The sequence below is a fragment of the Homo sapiens genome, chromosome 18, assembly GCF_000001405.40.
Source record: "Homo sapiens chromosome 18, GRCh38.p14 Primary Assembly".
Classification (NCBI taxonomy): domain Eukaryota; kingdom Metazoa; phylum Chordata; class Mammalia; order Primates; family Hominidae; genus Homo; species Homo sapiens.
The window spans coordinates 44,987,022-45,015,020 of NC_000018.10; the positions used below are offsets into that span (position 1 = coordinate 44,987,022).

General features: G+C 40.4%; 1 protein-coding gene across 17 annotated transcripts in view, besides 2 other annotated features; it reads left to right on the plus strand.

The window, feature by feature from the left end:
* Positions 1-27,999, plus strand: part of SETBP1 (SET binding protein 1) — a 388,438-nt gene that overhangs the window by 306,949 nt on the left and 53,490 nt on the right. The gene's annotated exons all lie outside the window — the stretch shown is intronic.
* Positions 21,631-22,132: an enhancer, noted in NCBI's record as "H3K4me1 hESC enhancer chr18:42588617-42589118 (GRCh37/hg19 assembly coordinates)". NCBI's record gives its function as "activates a minimal SCP1, AML or CMV promoter by ChIP-STARR-seq in primed H9 embryonic stem cells {active_cell/tissue: H9 hESC(primed)}" and the evidence as "EXISTENCE:reporter gene assay evidence [ECO:0000049][PMID:30033119]".
* Positions 22,133-22,632: an enhancer, noted in NCBI's record as "H3K4me1 hESC enhancer chr18:42589119-42589618 (GRCh37/hg19 assembly coordinates)". NCBI's record gives its function as "activates a minimal SCP1, AML or CMV promoter by ChIP-STARR-seq in primed H9 embryonic stem cells {active_cell/tissue: H9 hESC(primed)}" and the evidence as "EXISTENCE:reporter gene assay evidence [ECO:0000049][PMID:30033119]".

Consider the following 27,999-nt stretch of genomic DNA (forward strand, 5'->3'; position numbering starts at 1 on the left):
CCTATGTGCTAACTTACACATGACTAGCAGTGCAACAAATCTGTTTATACCACCATCACCACAAACACTTGCATAAAGCATTGTGTAATAGCCTCTATGATATTGTAGTGGCTTACAACATCACCAGGCATTTTAGGAGTTTTTCAGTTTCACTACAATTTTATGGGACCACTAACATATATGTGGTCCGTCACTGACCAAAACAATGTTATGCCATGTATGACTGTATTTAAAGCTCCTTCTCCAGAAGAGCCCCCAGAGTTTTCCTGCTGACCACTCTCTAGTCACACATGTTTGAGACAGACAGCAATAAGATAGCATAAAACACAGAGACTCATGAAGTCAGTGGTACGCAAACCCCCAATTAGGATTATTGCCTGTCCATCAATAACAATCACTAGACAATGCAGATTCTGGTTCAGCTGCCTCTGCTCAAAATGCTTTGGAGCTCTCTTGGAAATTCTTTCAAGCCCTGCCACATTCTTCTAAATATCTGAAATGTCTTTGCCTTTGAAAGGAAGATGTGATTTATGGAAACAGCCAAATCACTTGGAGCCAAGTCTGGCCGGGAGGTCAAGATGGGTAATGTTAGTTTAGAATTACCCATTTTAGATAGGAGCGCTGTCAGAGGTTTCTCAGCAATGATTGGTTTGGTTCTCCGTGAAGATAAAGCAGTTTATTATCTTTAAGCTTGCTGTGGAAAAATACACATAATTAAAACAAATTTAATATTGATAATAATCCTAGTCTCTCACCCTGTTTACTATTATGTTGTAGCACAGCAGCATGTGCCTGTATGTATGAGAGTGTGGCCATGTGTGTTTGATTATATGTAAATAGATCAATCTACAGTTAGATAGACAGACATATATAGATACAGCTATATATACTGTTTCTCATGAGATATTTTTTCATTCCCTTTTCCCAGGCATAGTTTCCAGAATTCTCCTATAAATGTGAACCTGTTTAATTGTTGATATTCTCCTAAGATAAGCAATTCTTAACCTTTTTTTAAAAGGTTACAGCTACATAGTTCTTTTAGAATCTGCTGAAAAGTATGCACCCTTTTGTAGAAAAAATAGAAATATATACACATTCATACGATTTGGAAAAGAAGGGACACAAATATCATGTTTAAAACTTTCGACCTAGGATTTGAAAAGCGGCATAAAATTCACATCATAGGATATATTTACAAAACTAAGCTAAAAATGACTTTTCAGTAGACACTGTACATTATTATATAGCATCTCTAGTTAATTAGTTGAATTTCAGGTTGCCTGAATAAGGCTAAGAACAAATAAGTGATGATAATGGAGAAGGAGAAAAGTCAGTGGGTCATTGTGTATTGACGTTGGGATTAAAATAATATAAAAGGTTTCTGTTTACAAGATACAGCAGGCAAGAAATACTTCAAAACCTTTCTGATATAAAATGTTTAAAAGCTGAATGAGGTGTAAGATATCTGTTTACACGTATTTTCAGGTTAGAAATGTGGGTACAGGTTCTGAGATGCTAAAATTGACAAGAAACCTCTAATACAAAGAGGTAGCTAGCCTTAAAGTTGATGGGCTTTTTCTGCAGCTATCTGCCTATTTCTGGATGTTCAGACTGTTTGGTTTATTTGGTTGCTTATAGGGAAGAGAAAACAAATGTAATTCCCATGGAATCTAGGATGTATGACCAAAAATTCCTTTCAAAGAGTGTATTTTATAAGGCAAAACCCTCAGTAAAAGACTGAAATAGCATATAGCCCATCATAGTCTTCACTATAGTTGCAGGGGCCAGTAACCTCTGAGAAATCTTAATCTCAAGACAGTTCTCATATGAATAGGGGGTCAGGGGAGCAGGGTCAAAATAGGTACTTGCTTTGTGACTACAAATGACCAAATGAAAATTTTAGTTTAAAATTCTCCTGGTTTGGTGGAACCCTTAGGCACCTAACAAGTGGAAGTGCATATTATCTCTGGAAAAATGCACTTAGTAACCATGACTCAAATAGTTCTCATAGAAGAAATGCCAAAAACATAAATCATGATAAAATATGATAATGCAAAATACATGAGGAAACAAGTTTTTATAAGACTCAGCAGAAGCAACAAGGAGTAAAATTAGACCCACTATATCTGGAAAAATATGAATCCCCTCAACTACAAGATAAGTAAGCTCAATATGTTTTAAAAAGTAAAGAAGAACATCAAAAGAATAAGTACAACAGATTATGAAATATGGCAAGGTAGATTTGAAAACTGCCCAAATAGAAAGTCTAAAAATGAAATACATAATAATTTAAATTAGAAACACAATGATGGATGATGTAGCAAATTAGGAATAGCTAAAGAGAGATTTGCTGAACTGGAAGATAGATCCAAAGAAATTATATGTAATATAGACAGAAAACAGTAGAAACAAAGGTTAAGAGAATCATAAGTTAAAAAACAGATTTTTCATACATTTTATTGACGCTCCAGAAAAGAGATAGTAAAAGGAATAGAGTGAAAAGGATATTTGAATATGTAATCCTTAAGAATTTCTAGAATTGATGAAAGCCATCAATCCTCAGAAGCTGAAAGCCCAAGAAATTCCAAACAGGATTAAAAAAAAATTATCTGCCGAGGCGGGCGGATCACGAGGTCAGGAGATCGAGACCATCCCGGCTAAAACGGTGAAACCCCGTCTCTACTAAAAATACAAAAAATTAGCCGGGCATAGTGGCGGGCCCCTGTAGTCCCAGCTACTTGGGAGGCTGAGGCAGGAGAATGGCGTGAACCCGGGAGGCGGAGCTTGCAGTGAGCCGAGATCCCGCCACTGCACTCCAGCCTGGGCGACAGAGCGAGACTCCGTCTCAAAAAAAAAAAAAAAAAAAAAAAAAAAAAAAAAAAAAAATTTATCTAAGTGGACACACTGTAATCAAACAAAAGCCAGGAGGAAAAGATAGATAACCATCAAAACAAACAATCATTAGGTTTTTAGCCAACATCTCAACAGTAACAATGAAATCTAGTATATGGTTAAAAACTATCTTCAAAGTATATAAAGAAAAATAACTTGTGAAGCCAGAGAAACATCCAGAGCAATATCATCTTTCAAACGCAAGAATAATGTTTTAAGTCTAACAAAACTGAGAGTATTTTCTACCAAAAGACTCCACCTAAAGAGAGTTTTCCCAAGCGTATACTGCAGAAAGACAAAATATTTTCGAGAAAGAAGGTTGGAGATGTGAGAAGGTATAGTGAACAAAAATAATAGAAAAAAATGTGGATAAACTTATATTTAAATATTTGAACATTGGCCAGGGGCAGGAGCTCATGCCTGAAATCCCAGCACTTTAGGATGGCAAGGTGGGAGAATCAGTTGAGGCCAGGAGTTTAAGACCAGCCTGGGCAACATAATCAGACCCTGTCTTTACAAAAATAAAAGATTAGCTAGGCATGGTTGTGCATGCCTGTAGTCCCAGCTACTCAGGAGGCTGAGGTGGTAGGATTGCTGGAGCTCAGAATTTCAAGGTTGCAGTGAGTTATAATCATGTCACTGCACTCCTGCCTGGGCAACAGAGAAAGACCTTGTCTCAAAAAACAAACAAACAAACAAACAAACAAAAAACAAACAAACCAAAAAAAAACATACACACACACACAGACCCCCCCACACACACGTTGGCTCTACAAAACAAAACACTAAAAATAATGTTCAATTTGTAATACTAGGAATAGCATAGAAGTACTAAATAATAATGTAAATAGGAGTAATCAGGTTAAAATATTCAAAAGTTGCCTTATTGTTTTAGAAAAGTGTAAAGGTATTAACTTTCCATGTTGTTACATTAAATTTGGGTTCTATAATATCTAAGTTAGCCACTAAACAGATAGAACTAAAGGTATAACTTACAAACCATCAGAGAGAGAGAAAAAAAAAAAAAAAAAAAAGAAACCAAAAAAGAAGAAACGGGATGGGAGTGGTGGCTCACGCCTGTAATCCCAGCACTTTGGGAGGCCAAGGCAGGCGGATCACCTGAGGTCAGGAATTTGAAACCAACATAGTGAAACCGTGTCTCTACTAAAAATGCAAAAATTAGCTGAGAGTGGTAGCACGTGCCTTGTAGTCCCAGCTACTCAGGAGACTAAGGCGAGAGAATTGCTTGAACCCAGGAGGTGGAAGTTGCAGTAAACCAAGGTTGCGCCACTGCACTCCAGCCTGAGTGACAGAGCGAGACTGCATCTCACAAAAAAAAAAAAAAAAAAAAAAGGAAGAAACAAGAAACGGAAAATTGGACAATATAAATCATGAAATAAAATAATAATAACAGTAAACATAAAAGCTTTAAAAAGGCCAGATTGGATCTTCAAATTTATAATCTAGAAATATGCTTGTTGTAAAACATATACCTAAAATATATGGAAATATATGACTGAAAAGGTATGAAAATAGATAAATAGGAATAGAAAGTTTGTATACTTATATAAATACCATCCAAAATAGTCTTTAATGTCTTTTTCCTTAAAACAAAGTTATTGACTATAAAAAGGGTCATAGCACAGCTGAAATGATAGAATGTTCAGTTAAAACCAAGAATATTTTAAAATTTCTACTTATATGTGCATAATAACATAGTTTACAACTATATAAAGTAAAGATGACAAAGGAGAAATTCACAAACTTGATCTTCGAATGGAACATTTTAACAAATCTTTCTCAGTAATGGATCAAACAAACAAAACATAGATGAGTAAGAATATAACAAATCAAAGAAAAGCAATTTCCAAATCTAATTGTAATAAACACGCATAAGTGCTACATCCAACTAATAGAAAATACAACAAAGCACATGTAGAACAATAATAAAAATTGATGACATACTGGGCTATAGAGCATGCCTAACAAATTTCAAAGAGTCAATGTCATAGAGATTGTATTCTCTAACAAAAGACAATTAGATTAAACCCGGTAATCAAAAGATAACATTAAAAGCCCCAAATCATTGGAAGTTAGAAAACACTTATATTTAATTCATGGGTCAAAAAATTTAGAACTGAATAATAGTGAAAACACAACATGTCAAAACATGCAGGCTGCAGCTAGGTTGATTCTTGGAGAGAAATTTAGAAGTTTAAAGATTTACATTAGGAAATAAGAAAGGCTAAAACAAGAAAGGCTTACCATATGACTTAAGAAATTGGAAATTGTTTATTAAATGAATATACTCAAAAAAAGTAGAAGAAAGGAATGTATAAAGATAAAAACAAATCAGTAAAATGCAAAACAGGTGCTGTAGAGAGGATCAATAAAGCCGACATTTTTTTTAAAGACTGATTGATTTTTAAAAAATTGCTTCTCAGCCTTTTGGCTAAGATCAAGTGATAAAAAATTATGATCAAGATTAAAATTATGATTAAGATCAAGACTGATAAAATTATGGCAATAATAGTTGAGGAGCAAGGGGAAGGATAGAATGCAAAGAAAAATATTAGGGAGAGAAGTAAAAAGAAAAAGTATTATGGAAAGTATGTAATTGCAAATGCAATTGAGATGAAAAGACTAATGTATTAGGAACAACTGTATGTCAACATATTTGAACACTTACATGGCACAGACATAGCTTGGGAAAAGAATATAACTTAAAAATATCAATTCAAGGAGAAATAGAAAACCCACATTTCCCTTTAATCATTAAATAAATAGAATCAATAGTTTAAAAATCGTTTAAATAAAAATGGTCCAAACGTTTTACAGTTAGTTCTGCCAAGAATTCCATTATTACACAAACTTGCTTAGATTATAGAAGAAAGAACTTTCTCAGGATGGAACATTGATCACTCTCAAACACAGAATGAGAAAAAAGAAATAATAGTGGGCCAAGTGTACCTATAAAGATAGATATAAAAATTCCAGACAAAATAAAAACAAACGTAATCTAGAAATATATTTTAAAGATGATACATTTCAACTATGATTTACCTCAGGAATGCAATTTTGATCTAACATTAGAAAATAGATAAATACAATTCCCCATATTAACAGAACAAAGGAAAAAAAGACAAATGATTATGTCAATTGATGCAGAAGTCATTCACTAACAGCCAACGTTCATTTATGACAAAGGTTCTCAGCAAACGAAGAATAAAAATAAACTTCTTTATCCTAATAAGAGATATCAAGAAAAAACTCTGCAGTAGGCACCAAACCTAACAATGAGACATTAAAAGCCTTCTCTTTACTATCAGAAACAAGGCAAAGAGGCCCAATGTTCTCACATCTATTCAAAGTTACATTACAGGTCTCAGCCAGTAAGCTAAGGAAAGTAAAACAAATTAAAAATAAAAGGTTTGGAAAAGTAAAAATAAAACTCTGATTATTTTCTTATGATATGACTACAATGACATCCAGAAATAATATATAAACAAGTTATCAAAATTAATAAAAGTATAAGACTAAAAGTGATTAAATACAGAAAATCCTTTTGATATATTTTTCTACTTATTGCTGATGTATAGAAATGAATACTTGAAAGAACAAAAAGTAATACGATACCTAGAAATACATCTAACAAAATACATATAGGATTTCATTTTTAAAAATGAGTCTTATTGAAGTTTATTAAAAAATACAATTGAGAAAAATATGTTGATGAATAGAAAGATGCATTATGAAAGTATCAATTTTCCTCAAATTTATCTATAGATTTTAATGAAATTCCAGTCAAAATTTCAACAAGCAGATTTGGAACATTGTAAGATAATTCTATACTCAATATAAAAAGCCTACATGAAAGTTATAGGAATAACTAAGATCTCTTAAAGAAGAAGAAAAGGCGGAGGACTTACCCTACCACATATTAAAATATACAAAACCCACTTTTAGATGGATTACATTATTAACTGTGATAGTTGAAACTTTGTCCTTTTAGAAAATATAGAGCAACACTTTATGGCCCCAGAATAGGAAAGTATTCTTAAGACAAAAAGGCAAATCACACAAATTAATAAATCTGACTATCTTAATGAAACTCGTTTATCAAAAGACATAAAAAAGATAATGATAGCCTATCAACTGTGAAAATATTTGCATTTTATATTACCAAAAAAGGAGAATTTGGAATATTTAAAGAACTGCTAGAGTTTAATAAAGAAAAGACTTTCAACCTTACTTTTTTACATAAAAAACCTGGGTAAAAAAAATGAAAAGGTATTTTAGATGAGAGAACACACACAAAAAAAAGTTCAGTAATTTTCCTGATTCTATTCCAGGAAAATTATAATCAGATTATAGGATTACTCTTGTAATCCAGGAAAATTACAATCAGGAAAATCCAAATTAAAGCCACAATCACCCACACTGGCAAAAATGGAAATCTGTGAATACTAAGGATTAAAGAATTATGGGATTAATGATAATTCCTTTTTATTCTGCTAGGAGGAATACCAGTTGACACAAAAATTTTGAAAAACAATTTGGCATTATATAGTAAAATTAAAGATACACATTTCCCACATCTTACCCAACAGTTTCATTCCTCCATGTCTGTTCTCACAAAACTCTTGCCCACATGTGTAGAAGATAAATACCAATGTGCTCATAGGGAAAATTTTTTTTGTGATAGCTGAACACTGGACACAACTTGGTTGCCCATTGACAATAATGTAGATATGTACATGGTGGAATATCCATACAAAAGAAGATTGTTATCCAAGAAAATGAATGAGTCACATCTACACATATCAGCTGAATCTTAGAAATAGCATGTTGAGCAAGAGAATACATGGCCCAATATCTACAAAATTCAAAAATATGAAAAAACATACTATTCAGGGATCCATATGTATGATAAAACTGCAAAGAAAGGAGGTTGGGCAGGGTTGCCATGTATGGTTGTATATTGCACAAGGATTTCCAGCCAAGGGAGTAATTAGAGCTAAATATCAGCCCTTCAAGATACTCCCAAGCCTTTTGCCCAGGTGTGGGAATTCACCTCACAAGGAAGAAAAAGGTACTTTTCTTAAGTTTACCCAAAGGCACCTCTTGCATGTTGGGAGTAACACACATGTGAGTGTCAAAGGTATTGGCAATATAATGTGTCTTAAGCTGAGTGGCAGTAGACAACTGACCATGTTATTTACTTTTTTTTTTTTTTTTTTTTTTTTGAGATGGAGTCTTGCTCTGTTGCCCAGGCTGGAGTGCAGTGGCGCGATCTTGGCTCACTGCAAGCTCCGCCTCCTGGGTTCACGCCATTCTCCTGCCTCAGCCTCCCGAGTAGCTGGGACTACAGGCACCTGCCACCATGCCCGACTAATTTTTTGTATTTTTAGTAGAGACAGGGTTTCACAGTGTTAGCCAGGACGGTCTTGATCTCCTGACTTCGTGATCTGCCCACCTCGGCCTCCCTAAGTGCTGGGATTATAGGCGTGAGCCACTGCGCCCAGTCATTATTTACATTTTTAATGTACATTTTAAATGTGAATATGCAGACTTAATATGAAGACCACATTTTTAAAATGTACATGTCCAGGCTTTTGTGTGTGTGTGTGTGTGTGTGTGTGTGTGTGTGTGTGTGTGTGTATAAAATGTACATAGATAATTTAACATTTCTGTATTCATCCATTTATGCTGCTAGTAATTCGTAAAGAACAGAAATTTATTTATCATGGTTCTGGAGGCTGGGAAGTCCAAAATCAAGATGCTGGGATCAGTGTCTGCCAAGGACCTTCTTGGTGCATCCTCACATGGTGGAAGGTAAAAAACAAAGATGAACACTGTCTCCTCACAGGACAGAATAGCAGAAGAAAGCAAACCAACTCCCAAGAGCGCTTGTTGTATTATATAGCAGCATTAATCCATTCATGAGGGCAGGGCCCTAAACACTTCCCATTAGGCCCCATCTCCCAACACCGTTACAATGGGGCTTGTTTCCAACATCTGAATTTTATGGTCCACATATAGGCCATAACACTTACCAAATGATTTGAACTGATATTTTTTAGGAAAATGTTTTTACCAACTTTGAGAAATCAAATTTCAACAGGTCCACAGTGAAATTCAAATGAAGCTACCCCAAAAACCCAATACAGGGTTTATGTCTATTGAACATCAAGTAGCTACTGTTCTTGTTTCTTCCTCTCTCCCTCCCTCTTTTCTCTTCTTCTCTCTCAAAAAGTATAAAATACTTATGAGGCTGCAGAGAATACATGTTTCAATGAAGTCTGATAGCCAGGAGCAATATTTGCTGGGCACATGAAAAGTCTTCTCCAAAGAATGTCTCAGAGAATTACAGAGACTAGAGCCTGCTCACCCGGGGCCAGATTGTCAATACAGCAAGGCTCTCCATCTACAAGGTACTTAGGAGAAGAGGAACTTGTGGGGTGGAGTTCAGGCATCTGGGCAGAGCCAGCTTTCTCTCCTTGCCTCCATTCAGCTCTGTGGAGTCACCTCTAGGAGTGCTTCTCTGTCCACGTGTAGGCCTGACAGTGAAAGAGGAAGTATTTACAGACTGGATTTTAACTCTGTCAGGCACTGAAAAACTACCCATGAAGATGAAACTGCTAAACTGACTCTCAGAATCCTCCCCATTCATATCGAACTTTCTGATTTCCAAAGGGCTTTCCCATATGTTATCCCATTTGTGCTTCCACATACTCTGGGGGAAAGGGATAGAGCAGTAGGTACTAGCATTTCCATTTTACAAGATGGAGAACCTCAAGTCCTGAGAGGTGAAATGAGTCTTGTAACATCAAGTCAGGCAGATCTTTGGGCTGCTACTCCTATACTCTTCTTTTCCAGCCCACAGAGCACTGGATTAAGGCAGAGGCAAGGGAGAAGACAAAGGGAAAGAAGGAAAAGATATGAGGCTAGTGGAAGAAAAAGGGTAGGAAAAAGGCAAAATAATGGACACTCCTGTGCAAAAAGCAGTGAGATGGGTACAGGCAGGTCTCAGCTGACGGGAGTATCCCAGAGTGTTTCCTTCAAGACTCTTTATTGACTAGGGAAGATCAGATGAGAAAGAGGGGAAACACTTGCCATAACACAGGTGGCGTAATCAGGGATGAGGAGAACATCTTGGGAGAGTTTTGGACTAAGAGAGTTGAAGTGTAGGTCTCCCAGTTCCAGGAGCATCTCTTTGTTCTTTGTGTCACTGCATCCCCCATCAGGCTGACAGCATCTGCCCCTATGATACTAGCTGAGCCACCAGCCCTTCAAAATAGGCCTCCCTAGTCCTCTGTAGATATCACTCATAGGGACCATGATGTCAGGATGGCCTTAGGCCTTCCCAGAAACCTGCCATCTCGGGACTGCACTCTCCAGCAAGCACACACACCTTCCAGCATTGGAAGAAACCCAGGCCTTATGCTTGGCCTATTTGCCAGGTGGCTCCCAGCTCTAATCCTTAAATACTGCAGCCCATTGCCAGTGTTATGCTGAGTATTCCTGTGTAACTTTTCTGCAAAGTTCTAGCCAAGCCCTGGCAAGATGCAACTGAAGACAAAACAGTTTCCCCTTAGGTAGAGGTCACTATACAATGGAGCAATTCTTGAGATCTAAAGATCGAGGTTTTTAGACTAATGATTTGATCTCCATTGCATTAGTGTAAATTGGAAATGGATACCATATCTTTAATGCTAATTAGGCATTGCATTACTTAGTCTTCCAGGCCTCATGTAAATAACAATTAGCAATAATTTAGCAGTTGTACATGCTGGCATCTTCTAAGCCATACCATTGTATACCATTCCAAATTCCTTTGCATTAATTAGGATCATAAGCCAATCAGCACTAATTAGGAAGAAAATAAGTATAATAATAAATGAAACAAAATTAGTGATTTGTATCTGGTCGGTAGTTCCTTCCCTTTGCAGTTCATCAAATAGTCTTAATGCGTAGGAACTTCTTGTAATTGAAACTAATTATGAGGTTTCCCCTGCTACTTTGAGCCTCATGTTCAAATCCCACGAAGCTCATTAAATAAGTAACAAAACTGGAATCTTTAGCACATATTGTAACTTGGATCATGTTAATTAGCACCACACGCAAAAGGCAGTGAGAGGCCGTTTAGCAGCCCCTGTTCTAGTTAAAGAGAAGGGAGATTGGGACCGTTACAGTTCTTTGGGGCTTTTAATAAGCCAGGCCAGTAGTGGGTGGGTACTGTGGTGAGAAAGTTCTTGTTATAATACAATGATGGTTCGGGGCAGAGAGGACAACATGGAATCCAGGGCCAAGCTAACCCTTGACAGGAGCATTTCTAGCTGTCACAGTTGTGTATGGAAAACACCTGAGTGGGGTGGTAGCCCCGTTTCCGGGGTATCTCTCCTCACACCAGGCACTTGCCCCATACTTGACTCTGTGGCGACCTCTGCCCAACCTTGGGCCAGTTACAGAGCTTTTCTCTTCAAGGTTGAGTGGTGAGCATTAAAGACCCCGGAGATTTCACTTGCCCTGCACAGAATAAAATTGTATACACATAAACCCATGTGTCTGTTTCTAGTCAAACATATGTACCGTTCAGTAGACATATTGGCTGTATTCACAGCTTCCAGCGCTGATCTCAACGACTGCCGTTCCTTTTTCATATACAGCTAGATCTGTAGATAGCGCTCTAGGCCGCAATTGGAAGATGCAGTAGAAATATGCTCACCCACCAATGTGTCTTCTGCCCTCCTGTCTGTGCTGTGGAGCAGTCTGAAGTTAAGCACTCAGGATGATGTTGGGGAAGGTTGGATACGGGGAAGTAAATCCACAGGGATGTTGGTTTATGGTGTACCCACCTACAGTACTAGAACTCCATAAACAATATTATTCACTGCTGTTTTATGAGAAACAGTTCTAAAATAGCCCTAACAGAAAACACTTGTTACTCTACCATTTTGACATGTCAGGTTTGATGGCTTGATGAGCAAAAAGACATGGACAGAGCTTTCTAGACACCCAGTGGAATCAGAGCTACTGATGTCTTAAGCTACTAATGTTAACTTTATTTATTTGGATGTAGAACCGTCTGGTTCTTATGTAACAACAGAAAACAATCCTGATCATCCTTCTGGCCTCAACTAATGCCTCATTCTTCTGTAAAGCAGGTCCTACTGTCTGAGCTCACAGAATTTTTTTTTTCTTTTACTCCTGGTGCTCTGGTTACCACTATGAGACTCACGTATGTGTGATTCCAAGTTATCGGATGATAACCTTAGGGGTAATAGTCTGGTCTCCCTAGTCAGGTTATTAGTTATTTAGAATCTGAAGTCCTCATGTGTCACATTCCTTTTCAGCCCTATAGTGGCTGACCCAGGATGCGAAAAAAAAGTTTCCAGGAAGTTATGATTTTTTGACAGTTAAGCATTGAAGAGCCTCCAGAACCCAGCATAAGAATGACCCTTTGAAAGTAGAAAAATCTCATTTTAATCACTCCTGTTTTGTTCTTAACATTTTATATATTATGCAGTGTGCGTGATGGGAAGGTGAAAAGTCTGTGGTCTTAACCTTGTCTACTGAGTGATACCTGAAGAAAAAACTCTGGGATATGTTCAGAGTACATCCATGTCACTGGCATAGATCATGAAGTTGGTGCTTTGTCCACATAGGCACAATAAGATACAAAGTCAGAACCACCTCAGAGATAACTCGCAACGACCCTTCTTACTAATGCTCATAGCAAAACAGGAAAGTAATAGATATCATGTTGTCTGCATTGCTAAAGTCAGCTAAACCTGGTGAATCCATTTCATACCAGTTGATTCAATTTTTCTGTGTATGTACAGCCCCCAACAGCACACGTAATTATTTTTAAGGATGTAATTCTGAATCATGTAATGCTGGATAATTGACAATGAAACTAATAAGATAATAGTTATGCCCTGCCACCAGTAGTTTACAGTCTAAGAGAGCTCGTGACTGATCATAGTGAAATTAAATACAGCCGAATTAAGATGTTTAATCAAAAGAAAGAGAATAAGCAAAACACAAAAATCATGTGTCTTTCTTGTTTTAACCACAGATTATTCTTTCCAAAATTTTCTCATCTGTAGTCCAATGTTACGTTATATGACAGTGAACTGTTGGCACACCAGCCTGTCCTAGTAGCAGTGCACTCTAACCTCCTCATTGGCATGAATGCCAACAAAGGAAATCAGGTGATGTTTAAGAGGGATATGATTTGGCATAAAGTTGTCTAGACTGGGCTTTTGAGCCAAGACACCTATCCTTAGTAGAGGGTGAAAGAGGAGGCTGGTCTTGGTTATTAGGCACTAAGACATTTGAACTTGGATAGACAAAAACACACTGATGTTAGTAGAATCAAGTCATTAGGCAGAGGTAGGGTCACAAGGAAAAAGCAAGAGCCCAGGTGTGAGAGCTAGGCCCAAGGACAGAACAGGGGCTATAGTGAGCAGCCAGGATGTTGGGCAGCCCATGTATTGCCCTGAGGTCTTCTGAACATGTTCCTGCCTGGAAACAGGGCATGGTAAGTGTAGGGGGAGGTTGGAGACTGCAGTTAGAGGTCTGTGGATCATTGCAAAGCCCCACTCCTCCATCACCACCACCAAATCTGTTGAAAATGTGTCTGTCTAAATTGTGCTAAATATACTCTTAAAATAAAAAATATACATGTATATTTTAGGCTTGATAAGGAAGCCTCCCAAAATTCCATAGCTTTTCAGCTTATAATTTTTTCATTGGAAAAAATGGAAGAGAAAGCAGAGAAGTTGTAAGGGAATATGATGAAAACCTTAAACAGTAAATAAGATGCTGCTAAAAATCTGTGTGACTAGAGCCATACATCAACGGGAATGCACACAACACACACACACACACACACACACACACACACTCCTAGGAAGCTCTGTACTAGACAGAGTGCATGCTTTACATTTTTGTCGCCTTAAAAGCAGTACTGAGTTACGAAGACAGCCTAAGCAATAAAGATGAGGACAGGATGTATTGAAAGTGGGACCCCAACAAAATAGAGGTTGAAACAGCCCAGGTCCTGACTACTTTGCAAATAGAATGATTCCTTAGTATGTGTGATATGGTCATTCATTCATTCATCCATTTGCTCATTCATTCATTCATTCATTCATTCTCCATTTGCTGAATAACTCCTCCGAATCCAACACACTAAATGCTTGCCCTACCAAGGACAGCAGTGTAGTCTGGAATTGCAGCATGAATTGGGACTGACAGTGACTTGGGTTCAAGTCTCAGCTCTTCCACTTGTTGAGTAAGACATTTTTGGTAAGTCTTGTCACCACTCAAAGCCTGTTTCCCCATCTGTAAAATGAGGGCAATATTAACTCCTACTTTATTGAGTATTGTAAGGATTAAATTCTATAATGCCTGAAAAGCTCTTAGGCCAGTATACAAAGTAAATGCACAATAAATGTTAGTTGTTTGTGTTGTTGCAGTTAAATGACAGTATTCTATGTCAGTAGAAAATAGAGGAAAGCCAATACTGACTCCCAGTAAGAGCTTAACAACAAGTAGAGCTACCTATACAGAGTAGGCTGCCCGAAGAGGTGGGGAGCTGTTCATCTCTGCCTGTGTTCAGGCAGAACTTAAACTTCCAATATTAGGGATACTGTAGAAAAGGCCCATCTTTGAGGAGGAGCAGCAGGAAGGACCCTACCATTTCTCTTGTACCATTTGTGCTGGGCCTGCTGCTCATTACTTTATAGATGTGTTCTAATTTGAGCCTTGCAAAACTCCTGCAATGAAGATATTACCCTTCTCCTTTTTGCTTTGCAGGGACAGGTAACATACCAAGATGCCACAACCAGGAAGAGGTAGAAAAGACCTTAGACCCCTAAATCCATGCTTTTTCCACTGCACTACCTTCATGCTCGGTTAACTCATACTGAGACTAAAGGATCCTCAGGAAACTTACTTAAGACAGAATAAAGTCAGGGTGGGATTTTATCCCACAGAGTGAGAGGGAGCTGTTCCTTTTTGAATCTCCAGATCTCATGCATTATCCAAGGCTCCCCCACCAAAATAATAATCATAATAATAACCTGCCTGAAAATACCACAGATCCGAAAAGTCTGGAAAGCTCCTTCAGAAAAGCTTCGCTTCCGTACATTGATCTCTCTTTGAAAAAAACAAAGCCTTCTCCCCCACAGTTCAGTTCCCTGGCTCCCTGCCCTGCCACCCATCCCTCTCCACCTTCTAGCTATGCTGATGAAAACAGGCCAAAACAGAGCATTTCAAAAATTCACCCTAGAACCCCAGCTTTCAGATCTGCGATCTGAAAAGGGCAAAGAGTGGAAGATGGTGGAGGGCAAGGGTTGAGAAGAACCATTTTTTTTTTTTTTTTGTCAAGAGGAACAGATTCCATTCTTGAATCCTTTGCCGTGTTATAAACAAGGCTGAGCACACAGCATTCCTCCTAAAGCACATGGTCCTGTTTTTACAACACAGGCCTGGTCCCTGCTGGAATTCAGTGTTTGCCTCAATACTGTTCGTCCTATTCATTTGGGATTTATTTTAATTTGGTGGTATTAATGGTGGCCAGGAATGGAACAGTTCTTTCATTCTTCTTCTGTTTTCCTTCTTATCTCCCTCCACACCCTCGATCTTTTATATTTATATTTTTAAGCATGTAAATGTTTCCAAGGGCAATGCCGAATTCTAAGCACTGCCTGTTATTGCCTTTGGTGGGTGCCTTCGCCCTCAAACCTGTAGCTTCCACTTTTGCTGGCATTTTGCAGTTCCTTCTCCAAGGTGCTCAAACTTCAGCAACTCTCTCATCTGAAGAGACATTATTGAGATTGTTTTCTTTATATAGAAAGGTGTTCGTTTGTTTTACCCTTTCAGGCTAGTTTTAAGGGCTCAGTTGAAAATGTAATCTGAGAAGGGACAGTGTAGACTTGGCTAAAAATGGAAACAGTGGGTCTTCTTAACTACTCACCACCTCTTTGAGGATTGATAGTTAAGAACTTGGGTTGTTGGGGTGGAGGTGGGAGCTGAGCACCTTGGTATATGTGAGAAACTAGTAATTAGATTGATCCATTTAAGAAATACACTGATATGTGCCAAACTCAACAAATAGGTCTTTTTCTCAAAAGGATACATCACATTCCACAAAGCTGCCATCGCTCAAAATACTTTGGAATATTTCTGAAATTATCTCCAGAGATTTTGGTATATTTTCTTTTAAAATTATTCATCAGAGAAAACCCTCATCCTCTGAGAAAACAAAAATATGCAAACTTTCAAAAATCACTTGTGCACAATTCTAGGGAATCTGTGTATTTTTTAGTTCCTCATCCATGAGCATACAGGACCCTGGGCTTTATTGATTGGCTCACAATCTGGTTCTATTGGTTTCAAACTCCAAGTGACATTTAAACAATGGCAATATCGTTGCAATAAGTAGTTTGCTTTTCATGATTACCCTCTTCCATTACAAGTAATGTATGTATGTGAGTTCAAGCCTACTGAGTGGGCCTTTGTCCTATTCAAGGAGCATGATTAGACAGCAGTCTATGCCACCCAACACCATCATGAACCAGCTACATGGGCAATATTTACTCTAGGCATGGCCTCGAGGACAGGAGGCACTTCCCACTGTAAACATGTGAACGAGCGAGTAGCCTGCCCATATCTCCATAGCCAAACCATCCTCATATGAGTCCAATAAAAGACTTCACTTCTCTTTCCACATTAGATGCTGGAAGAATAGTAATGTCATGGGAAAAAAAAAAAAAAAACAGCAGTAATCTGAAAGTCTTTTTTTCTTTTCCTAAATCTTCACAAGGTCTAGTTGCATAGGCACCCAAATGTCTGTTGACCTTCGTAATCTAAATGTGGTGACTCTCTTTTAAATTCCAGGAAGGGTGACATTTCTTATCACTGTGCTTTATGACTTAGGTGTGGGTAGTCCTTTCGTAAGATAGTATCCCACTACGCCAGTGATTCTTGCCTGGGTTTATTTAGCCCCCCACCAGGAGACTTTTGGCAATGTCTGGAGATACATTTATTACAGCTAAGTGGGGGCTTCTGCTGGCATCTGGTGAGTAGAAGCCAGGGATGCTGCTGAATACCCTACAAGGCGTGGAACAGCCTTTACCCTACCCTGTAACAAGGAATTATCTCATCTAAATGTCAGGCGTGCTGAAGTGGAGAAATCCTGCACCAGAATAAATCTCACCTGATGAACACCAAGGTAGCATATGGCATAGGTGTGAACATAGCCCCGGCAAAATATATGCACTTCTGCCTTCTTTGAGCATGACTTAGTATGGGGACCAATTATTGTGGTTTTCTTCCATTCATGCCATAAAAACGGAATACTCCAGGTAGATGTTGTCCTTGGCATCCCAAATTCATCTTTTTTACACCGATGGTTGGCGTGATGATTGGCCTCATTGTACCTTGGGTGTGATGCATCCTTTCACATGCACTGTGTAGAAGAAACAGCATCTCTACTGTCCAAGTTTATGTAAACTTCACTTTCTATTGTGTAACCAGCTGCCTGTTACAGAATCAAAGAATATCAGAGTAGAAGAGTCTCTTCTGTTTATCTTACCTGTGAGGAAACAAGAATTATAAGAATGTGGGTAACTCTTCAGGTAAATGAAAAAGAAACAGGGTTAGGACCAGGTGTCCTGAGATCTAACCTGGTGCCCACCTGACAGCCTTTCCACCACTCCTCCATCTTTTAGGCAGAGAGTGTGGCAGCCCCAGGCCCAGTGTTTCTGGCTCATAACATATCTATTTACAGGCCTAGGCAGTGAATCACAGGCTTCACTCATGGGTGAGAGCTTATTTCCCTCGGCTGCTGGACCATGCAGAGTCTCTGAACGGCAAAGCTCAATCCCTGACATTTCTGCCAAGATTAGAGAATGGTTTGCTTTCTTCACTTCACTCCCAATGTCATTTTTTAAAACATCATTAATTGACATTGGGAGTGATCCTGATAAGCTTCTCCATCATCATGGTCAGGGAACATACCAGAAATATAGCTGGTGTGGGACAAAGGAATTTCATGGGATGTGATTGTTATTTTAAAAGTAAATAGTAGAAGAAGCCAAGTGATCTGCAGAGTCCTATAAGGGCTTTGGCGCAGCATCTCAGTGAAGGAATGAAACTAATATTATGACAAGAGAGATGCCAACCATCATCACTACACAAGAAAAATAATATATAGGAAGAAAATACAACCTCATGTACTACATAGTCACATTGTGTTCCCTGGGCATTTACTAAAACAAGAGTCTTGATGGTTAACCCTTAAAAGTCTCCCAAATTAAGGTGCTTTTCAAACCATTCTTAGACTCACCACAAGGTAAGTGAAAGGAGATACAGTCATCATTTTTCTGGTGGGAAAACTGAACAGAAGACTATTCAGCCCACCAGCCAGAAGGTGGGTTTGGTGTAGGATGATGCCTGTAATAGGGTCATAAGACCATGGGGTCAACAGATTCTTAAAATTGGGAAAGAATTTCTAAGTGCATCCAGAAGGTATACACTGGATAAAAGAGGAGTTGTGAAATATGACTCAGGGAAAGAGCTGCAGACTCTGTAACAGTGTTCAGAGGGAACAGAATGCAAAACCACCTGCAGATTCACCAAATCGGGCAATAAGCCTTCAAAGGTACTCCAGGCCTGACTCAAGCCCTCCTGCCTCCGTGAAGTCTTAAAATCTTCCTTTTTTTTTTTTTTTTTTTTTGAGACAGAGTCTTGCTCTGTCGCCCAGGCTGGAGTACAGTGGCATGATCTCGGCTCACTGCAAGCCCCACCTTCCGGGTTCACGCCATTCTGCTGCTGCAGCCTCTCAAGTAACTGGGACTACAGGCGCCTGCCACCACGCCCGGCTAATTTTTTGTATTTTTAGTAGAGACGGGGTTTCACTGTGTTAGCCAGGATGGTCTCAATCTCCTGACCTCATGATCTGCCCACCTCAGCCTCCCAAAGTGCTGGGATTACAGGTGTGAGCCACTGCACCCGGCCTTTTTTTTTTTTTTTTTTTTTTTTTTGAGACCGAGTCTGACTCTGTTGCCCAGGCTGGAGTGCAATGGCATGATCTCAGCTCACTGCAAGCTCCACCTCTCGGGTTCAAGTGATTCTCCTGCCTCAGCCTCCTGAGTAGCTGGGACTACAGGCATGCACCACCATGCCCAGCTAAGTTTTGTATTTTTAGTAGAGACAGGGTTTCACCATTTTGGCCAGGATGGTTTCAATCTCTTGACCTCATGATCCTCCCACCTTGGCCTCCTGAAGTGCTGGGATTACAGGCGTGAGCCACCATGCCCAGCCAAAAATCTTTCTCAACCAGCGTATTTCCCCCATTTACTCAGCACCCCTACTTCATATATGTCTGTTCCTACTAGCTTGTTCTTTAATTGTTCCTTGTAGGTTCGTTCAGAGTCTTTGCAACTGTATCAGTTTGAGATGTAGTAACCAAGTTCCACAAGCTGGGGGCTTAAATAACTGAAATGTATTGTCTCACAGTTCTGGAGGCTGGAAGTCCAAGATCAAAGTGTCTGCAGAATTGGTTCCTTTTTAGGACATTGAGAGAGGCTGTTCCATGCTTCTCTCCTTGCATTTGGTGGTTTGCTGGCAACCTCTGGCATTCTTTGGCTTATGTATGCATCGCCCCTAACTCTGCCTTCATTTCTTATGGCATTCGCCCTGTGTACAGGCCTGTGTCAAAATTTTCTCTTCTTATAAGAACAACAGTCATATCAGATTAGGGCCCACCCTAAAGACCTCATTTTACTTTGATTACTCTATAAAGACTTTCTCCACATAAGGTCACTTTCCGAGGTAATAGGGGTTAAAAGACCATACATCTTTTTAGGGGGACACAATTCAACCCACAATAGCAACTAAACCTTAAGGTCTCAAGAAGAGGAATTGCCTTATATTCGCACATCCTCTGTTGCACCAAGTGAACTCTACAGCACATAACAAGTTTCTTGGTTGATCAGAAGTACAATGCAGAGCCACAAACATATGGTCTGTCCAGCTCAGGGTCTCATCTCCCATGGAGCTGTAGAGGGCTGGTTTGCGAGAGATTATCATTTAAGAAGTTCTGTCAAAATATGCCCCACTTCCCCCAGTTATAAACCTCCTCAGTATAAACTGTGAAGTTGGGAAAGCTGACTCAACCATGCTGCTAGTGGAAAAGTTAACATTCCACCCTCAGTCCTCTCACTCCTGAGCTAACGACTTGCCTGGCCCACAATATCTCTTCCTGAATCAGTTTCCAATTCCAGCCACTCCTAGTCAATGGATCATATTTGTTTTATGCAACTGTTACTTTTATCTCTTTCATTTCTCCTGTGCAGTCACATCCTGTATTAGATGGGTGTTTTTTCATTTGTCTTGCTCTGTCTTCTTCTAAATGTACTTGCTAGAAAACAATACACATCTTGAGGGTTTGCTGATGAAATGGAACAAAAGATCTCCAGTAATGCTTAAAGCCTCACTTTGATTATTATTCTCCAGTGTGAAAATTTACAGGGGCTCCCAAGAGCCTACTAGATAAAGCCTATGAGGCCTCCAGGCCATTCTCTATGTACCTTGCCTACCATCTTCCATGATGTACCCACATAAATCCTCTGCACCAGGACGCAGTCTCCTGATCTTTCCCATCTGGTCTTTCCCATCTCACAGCTGTGAATTTTTTCCATTTCCCAGTTTTCCTACCATCATTGGGATTAATTCGCACATTTAACCTGGAGATGTTGCTACTTAAGAACACTCAGAAATGAGGAATTTCCTCTTCAGAATTGAGTCAGCTGGCCATATTCTGTCTCTTTGTGAAGGCCAAACCATTTCATGAATCTAACATGATGCAGTAACCTTTGAAGCTATTCTGAGGATGAAGAATGCATCCAGTTGAACCAGGGCTGACCCACCTCAGGTCAGAGTGGATCTATCCATCCAGAGCCCAGAAGTCATATAAAAGGCAAGTTTTTGCCCCAAGCCTTCTGAAGGAATGATCCAGTAATGCCTCCAGAGCTTCCTGAGGCTTGACAAGGGCTTCTTCAGAGCTCCTGAGATACCAAAGCTGGCTTTACATTATCTCTGTGAGTCCCTGAAGCCTCCCAGGACTTCCAAAGAAATCAACAGCCCTCCAGTATATGCTAATGCAATGAGGGTTCAGAAAAAGTTCAAGACACCTCTCTAGATATCCTTATTTGATTTGCCCCCTTTTTCTTGTGGTATGAGCAGCAGAAACCCAGTTCTATCTTGTCCCTAGGGGACAAGAGGTTTTCTTCATCAATCTCATGGGAATTGAGTATATATCAATAAGTATAAAGTCTCAGTGATAACTCACGGGGATCCTGAGGGGTCTGACCAGAAGCCGAGTTTTGAAATGATGTGTAGTCTTCATCGAAGACCATGTATGTCCATCATGAATCTGACAGAAATTTTACCCTGAGATTTGTGTCTCTTCTCTCATGAATGTATCAGAGTTAAACCCAGATGTACTTCCAAGAATAAGGGCCCAGGGTCTGCCCTTAGGGAAGTAATGATGCTGAAGATTCCATGCTGTTGCTCTCTCAAAAGGAAAAGCAGTTTGCAGAGATGGAAAGAAAAAGGACTCTGCAGTTTGATAGACCAGATTTCTACTTTGGGTTCCAACTTTTTACTAGCTCTGACCTCAGGCAAAATAGTTCAGATATCTAAGCCTCAATGTCCTCTTCAGAGAAATGGAAACAATCATGATATGAAGCAGGGAGCAAAAATAAATCCCAGAACTCCATGGTTTTCATTCTTCTAGGTAAAGGCAAGGCTGTGACTGCCCTATAAGCTAATAAGAGCAGACCCCAACTCCTGGTGTGGGATTAGTGGTTAGCACTGAGCCAGCCAGGTGGGGAGGAGGAAGCCCAGCCCTGCACTCTCTCTGCTGTCTAGGTTGGGTTTGAAGCTGATGAGTGTTTAGGACAGCTCTAGCAGCAGAAGAGTGAAGACGAGGCAGCAGAACAGCTAGTGTCCCCTTGGCTGTGGAGCAGGACATGGTGCCTCACGTGGAGCTGGCTTTCACAGATGAACGAACAGGAGACTGGGGAGGCAATTGCCACCGTGTGCTGTGGTGGCAACATGACTTGTAATGAGGGCTCCTCAGAAGTCGTGTTCTCACATGGGAGGATGCAGGAAGAAGTGTGTTCCCTCCCAGCCGCCAACTGTACCCACAGGGCACCGGAAGGAGTTTCACTCTCAGCACTGGGCCCTGCAGCCAACCTCACAAAATGCTTTTTGGAGTTTGCCAACAGGGAAGCTTGGGCTGCAGCTGCAGCAGCAGGTGCTGGCTGCCAGGTTCCCTGTGGCAACGCAGTGTACGCCAGGTTAGCAGCTTAGCCTTGGAGAAATGGCCTCCATCTCGGATGCCTGTGGCCCAAAGCATGGAGCGGAGCTGCGTTTCCCCATGGTGGGAAGATAATGACTGCGCTGGTTTTTATGGGGCATTATATAACCTCAACGAGTGGTTCAGCAGTAGCAGTGGCTTTAAGAGGGTATGGAAGATTGTAACATGCTTGTTGTTTTTTGTTCGAGGGATTTTTTTTCACTTTTGTTGTCATCATTCAGTCTGATTCATTATCATTCATGGGTTTGCTCAGGCCCTTGGCTAATACTTTTTTATGACTCCAGGAGGGCATTGCTTCTGGCCACATGATAACTCAAGTCTGCATTTGTATGTTTTGCAGGAAGATTCATATCTAGGATCTTAATTTGGGCCTCTCTATGAAATAGAAAGAACAAGAGAGAGACAGATTAGGAATTGCTAACCTGTTCTGTTTGATGTGCAGACTGAGGCTCAGAGAGTGACCTGCATTGTTGCATACCATGCCTGTTCTGGAGCTAGGACCCCAGATCAGATCTTCTGAGTCTCACTGCCTTATTCTTTCCAATCTACCATGCTGCTCATGCCTCCTGCTAGCCCTGTGTTTTTGTTTCCAGTTGGCAGTGGACTGTTTAATCACGTGTCCTTTCCTCTGATCGGTTGTGGTCTTGCCTTTGGTACACAGATCAATGCCTGTTAACCACAGTTCCTCGCCTGGGAGGTTCTGTTACTGAGCACAACTGGAGGAAAAAGAAAGGAAAAACCCTGAGTTATAAAAGCATCTCTGCCTGTGCACCATGCCCCTTTACTCCATGCGCTCTCCTGCACTGCAGGCCCCATCTCCATCTGCTTCTATCCCACCCCACGAAGCTTGTTTTGACATGAACTGCTGTGGCTCTTGGAGATTCAGGCTAAGTGAGACATCAAGGGTGGCTTAACTCCTGGACCCAAAAGCATGTTGGTTAAACATCATCTGATGCCTTTGCCTCCATCATATTGGTAAATTCACGCTCTAGTAGATGGTTAACTTTTAATTCTTCTCAATTTAGGAGGAAGCATAGGCCTGGGAAATTCCTAAAAGCTGATAATCCCCAGTTACTTTTGTAAATTACATATGTGCACCCACACACACAAATGCTTCCTATAGTGTTTTTCTGTAACTTCTTAGGAACTTGACAGTGATATGTGTCATGACATTTTTTGGATTAAGCAGGTGTTAAAATGTGTTTACATTCCTTAAATAAATAACTAAGCACATACAAAGGCATCGCAGACATTTTTCCAAAACATAATGCTGAGGCAGCACGTATCTTTGATGGTTCTCATTGGTGTTACTATGAAAATGATTTCTAGAATTTCTCCTCTTAATTTACAACTAACTGAAAACAATGACAGTAATACTAGCAAATACTAATTGGGCATTTACCATGAGCCAGACATTGTGCTTAATACTATGCATTTATAAATAAATACTCATGTTTTATTCATTCCTTACGACAACTCTGTAAAGTTGGACACTACTAATATTTACAGATGAGAAAATTCAGGCTTAAGGGGATTAAGTAATTTCTCGAGGTCATGGTTGTCATAGCTGGTGCGGACTTATTCTGGAGTCTAAAGGAAAGCAAAGTTCTAATTTTAAAAGGCAAATGATAATTTTATAACTGGATATTGATAGGATTACATATGATATTCAGTAAGAAGACATAATTCATGTGATCAAGTGAAATCAAACAATTTACTGATATGGATGCTGTGGGGATGCCAAAGAAATACGCAGCACAGTTCTAGGATTAAAGAGTCTACAATCTGTTAAGGGTAAATAAGATATAAACACGTGAAAACATAAATCACAAATGATGATTCTGATTTGCTTGGAACAGGACTACGTTGTTAGAATCATAGACTCCCAGGGTACAAGAAACTTGTACTCCAGGGATGTATGTTGTGTCACTAACATGCACCACCTATCAGACCTGAGATGGGCCCCCCGATAAAGATCTGGTCAGTGATTAAACAAATAAACCAGCAAGATCGTCTAGATAAATCTCCTCTCTGGTGCAGGAATTCTCAAAGCAGCAGCCCCAGGGCTTCAGAGAGACTAGGGCAGCCTGTGCCATCTTATAGCAAGGGTGCATTCAAAGTGCTGATCCAAGACAGCAAGATAAGGAAAGGGTGTCTCAGTGGAAATCACCATGCTGCTTCCTTCATCCACAGAGTCTCACTAGGAAAAAATGTAACTGCTGCGCTGAACAGCCTGCTCAGCATAATACTTGATTTACACACAGGTGTAGCCTCTCTTTCTCTCAGGGGCCAGGTAATTGTCTGCTGACCAACAGCCAGTTTGCTAACCAGGCTTTGTGCTATTCTAGAGCTATGCATGTGAGTTCCAATAGTCTTCTAAAACCTACTCCCCAGGCGTGGCTGCCCCTGCATGTGCATTGGCTCTTTGCACTGCCCCATGAGTCAGACCACCTAGTTCTGAATGCCACCTCTGTCCAGCTGTGTGATCTTGAGCAATCAGTCTCAGAAGATGAAAGATGGAGATAATCTGAATTAAAGAAAATAATCCATAGAAAATGCCCAACTCATAGTAAGACTTTGTACCTGGTAGCTCTTATTGCTGTGGTTGTCGATGATGTTGTTAGAAACTCTAGAGAAGTTTCTTTAAAAAAAGAAAAGATCCTAGTAAAATAAAGATCTTACCTTATATTGAGGGCTCAAGAAATGTTAGAAGAGGGACTTCTTCATAATTCTCCAGGCTTGACCCAGGGGAGTTGAAGAGAGACAGACAGAATCCTGGTGTGATACAATGCAGTCAGGATTTGTTTGAATCATATATGGTAAGAGATGCACTATGGAATGACCGTCATGAAGGAAGAGTTTTTTATACTCACAGTATTCCTGGGAACAGGAGGCATGGCACACCAGGCAGGGCCACTGGGGGAAGAACTAGGTCAATCAAGAGGCAAAAGGATGAAGGGAAAGTGGGGACAAAAACCTGTATTGTGGTTATCATGGGATGGAATCGGGGAGGCTGGGGAGGCAGATTTCGGATTGGCTAGTCGGAATAATTTCAGGGGCCTCCAGGGTGTAGAGATTGCCCCCAGTTGTCTGGTACCTTGCCCTGGGGTGGTGTGAGTGTGGGGAATAGTGACTCATCCTGTGAGAGCCTCATAAAGGAACTGGTTGGTAGATGTGGGCTCTGGATTGGTTCTTTTGCATGTGAAAGATGCATTCTCAAGGGAGTCCTTTGCTAGCTCTAGGAATTCACTAGCCCTGGGAGGAGCCATCTCTCCAGGATCAGCAGGATTTGTCAAAGCATCATAAAATACAGGAAGTAAAAGAAAATGTGGTATATATGCACACATACAATGGAATACTACTCAGCCATAAAAAAAATAAAATCATGTCTTTTGCAGCAAAATGGATGGAACTACCAGCCATTATCTTAAATGAAGTAACTCAGAATCAGAAAGTCAAATACTGCCTGTTCTCTATGATAAACAAGAGCTAAATAATATGTACACATGGACATAGATTGTGGACTGATAGACATTGAGGACTTGAAAGGGTGGGTGAGTGGGAGAGGGACGAGGGATGAAAAATTACCACTAAAAGCCCAGACTTCACCATTACAGAGTATAGCCATGTCATAAAGCTATACTTTGTAACTCCTAGATTTAGTCAAATGTTTTAAAATACATGCATAATACACTTGGCACTGCAGTCCTGGAAGGCGACAGGAGTAGAGTCAGTACTTAGGAAAGGCAAGGTGATGGCTTTGTCAAGCTCACAACCACCTCACACAAACTCCAGGTTGAGCCCCGTGGTGTCTGCACAGTAGAGAGCAGGATGCTGAGTCTGTGCCAGCCCCAGGCCCTGCAGCCTCCTGCCATTCCTGGAGGCTGAGATAACATGGGGGGACCCAGAGCTCACCTCCTTGGCCCCACCCTGCCTACCTGCTCTACCTTTGATAACACACCACGAAGGATGCTAGGAAAATCCGGTTGCCTCAGCCCAGTGGGAATTTGCTCTCAAACAAACAAAGGCCTGTTTGTAGAGCTGGAGTCCATTTAGACACAGACACAGACCATTTAGGATTATATCTGACTGTTTCTGACTCTTTCTTTCTTTCTTTCTTTCTTTTTTTTTGTTTTTTGTTTTTTGAGACAGAGTCTTGCTCTGTCACCCAGGCTGGAGTGCAGTGGTGTGACCTGGGCTCATCGCAACTTCTGCCTCCCGGGTTCAAGCAATACTCCTGCCTCAGCCTCCCAAGTAGCTGGGACTACAGGTGCCTGCCACCATGCCCGACTAACTTTTGTATTTTTAGTAGAGATGGGGTTTCACCATATTGGCCAGACTGGTCTCGAACTCCTGACCTCATGATCCGCCTGCCTTGGCCTCCCAAAGTCCTGGGATTACAGGCATAAGCCACCACACCCAGCCCTGACTGTTTCTGAGCAGCAGCCACTGAGCGGCTGTGCCCTGTGTCAGTTCCCAGGCATCCCCAATCCTGACATGAAGTCTGAAGCTCTGACGGTTGTGGTTGACAGACAAAACTCACCCACCATGTTTCTTTCTGCTGTGTTTTTAAATTTACTTTCAGGAAAAGGCATGTGGTGTCCAAGACACTTGGGAATACACAGATGTGTTTAAACAACTTGGTTTCTTCTCAGGTTCTGCCTTAATTCAATAATCCATTCACTCTTTCATTCAATAAGCAAAGGATGTTCGGCAGAAAAAAAAAAATTCTGAATTCTGAGACAGTACAGCAAAATGAATCATTGAGCATTGGGACTCAAATTCTCCAAGGTGGGAGGGCTGTGGAAAGCCAGTGCCTGCTGTACAATCAGCAGCCAGAATGTAGGCTGAGGGAGGTAGTAAAACAGCCTGTGCCCATCCATTAAGAAACAGCTGAGCTTCATAGGGAAAGCTTGTCCATAGCAAGGAGGTGGAGATCAGAGGAATCGGTTTCAGCCCAGGCCATCTAGTTAGGACTGGTTTAGTTTGTGGGCCACAGACTTCCTCTAGCTCTGACCTGCCACCCTGCAGGAAAGAAGCAAAGGAGGAGGAATCTGTGCTGGTGACTCAGGGCACATTCCCCAGCAAGGGAGAAATAATTCAGATTACATCCTCCTGCTGTTGGATCAGGGCAGCGCATTTCAATTTAAGCCCATACAGCCAGAGACAGGTTCATGTAGAATGGAATAAATTAATAAATATGCTGTTGTTTAACTGGGAAAGTGCTCTGGCCTAGGGACGGCTTGCTGAATTTCCTCCTGGCACACACTCAGGAAACAAAAACATCGAGGGAACTCAATGTCTGATTCTTGACAGGGTCAAGAAACAAGGACCGTATGGCATTGTTTAGTGGTTAAGACTTTGTAGCCAGGTTGCATGCATTCAAAATCTGACCCTACCACCTACTAGTTGTGGTAATAAAGGGTGAATCACTTACCTTCTCTGTGCCTCAGTTTCCTCCTCCATAAAATGAGAATGAATATAATGCTCCAACAAATAGACTTGTTGTATTAAATGATATTTAAATAAATAATAATTAATAATTAAATAATACATGAAAAGGTCTTAGAGAGTGCCTTAGCATGATGTACCTGCAATTGAAGTCTTGGCTATACCTATTACCAGCACAGTGTGTGAGATAAAGAGTTTCAGGAACTGGAATGCATGCTTCAAACAGCCAGTGGGGTGCCTGCTCCGGACTCTCTGCC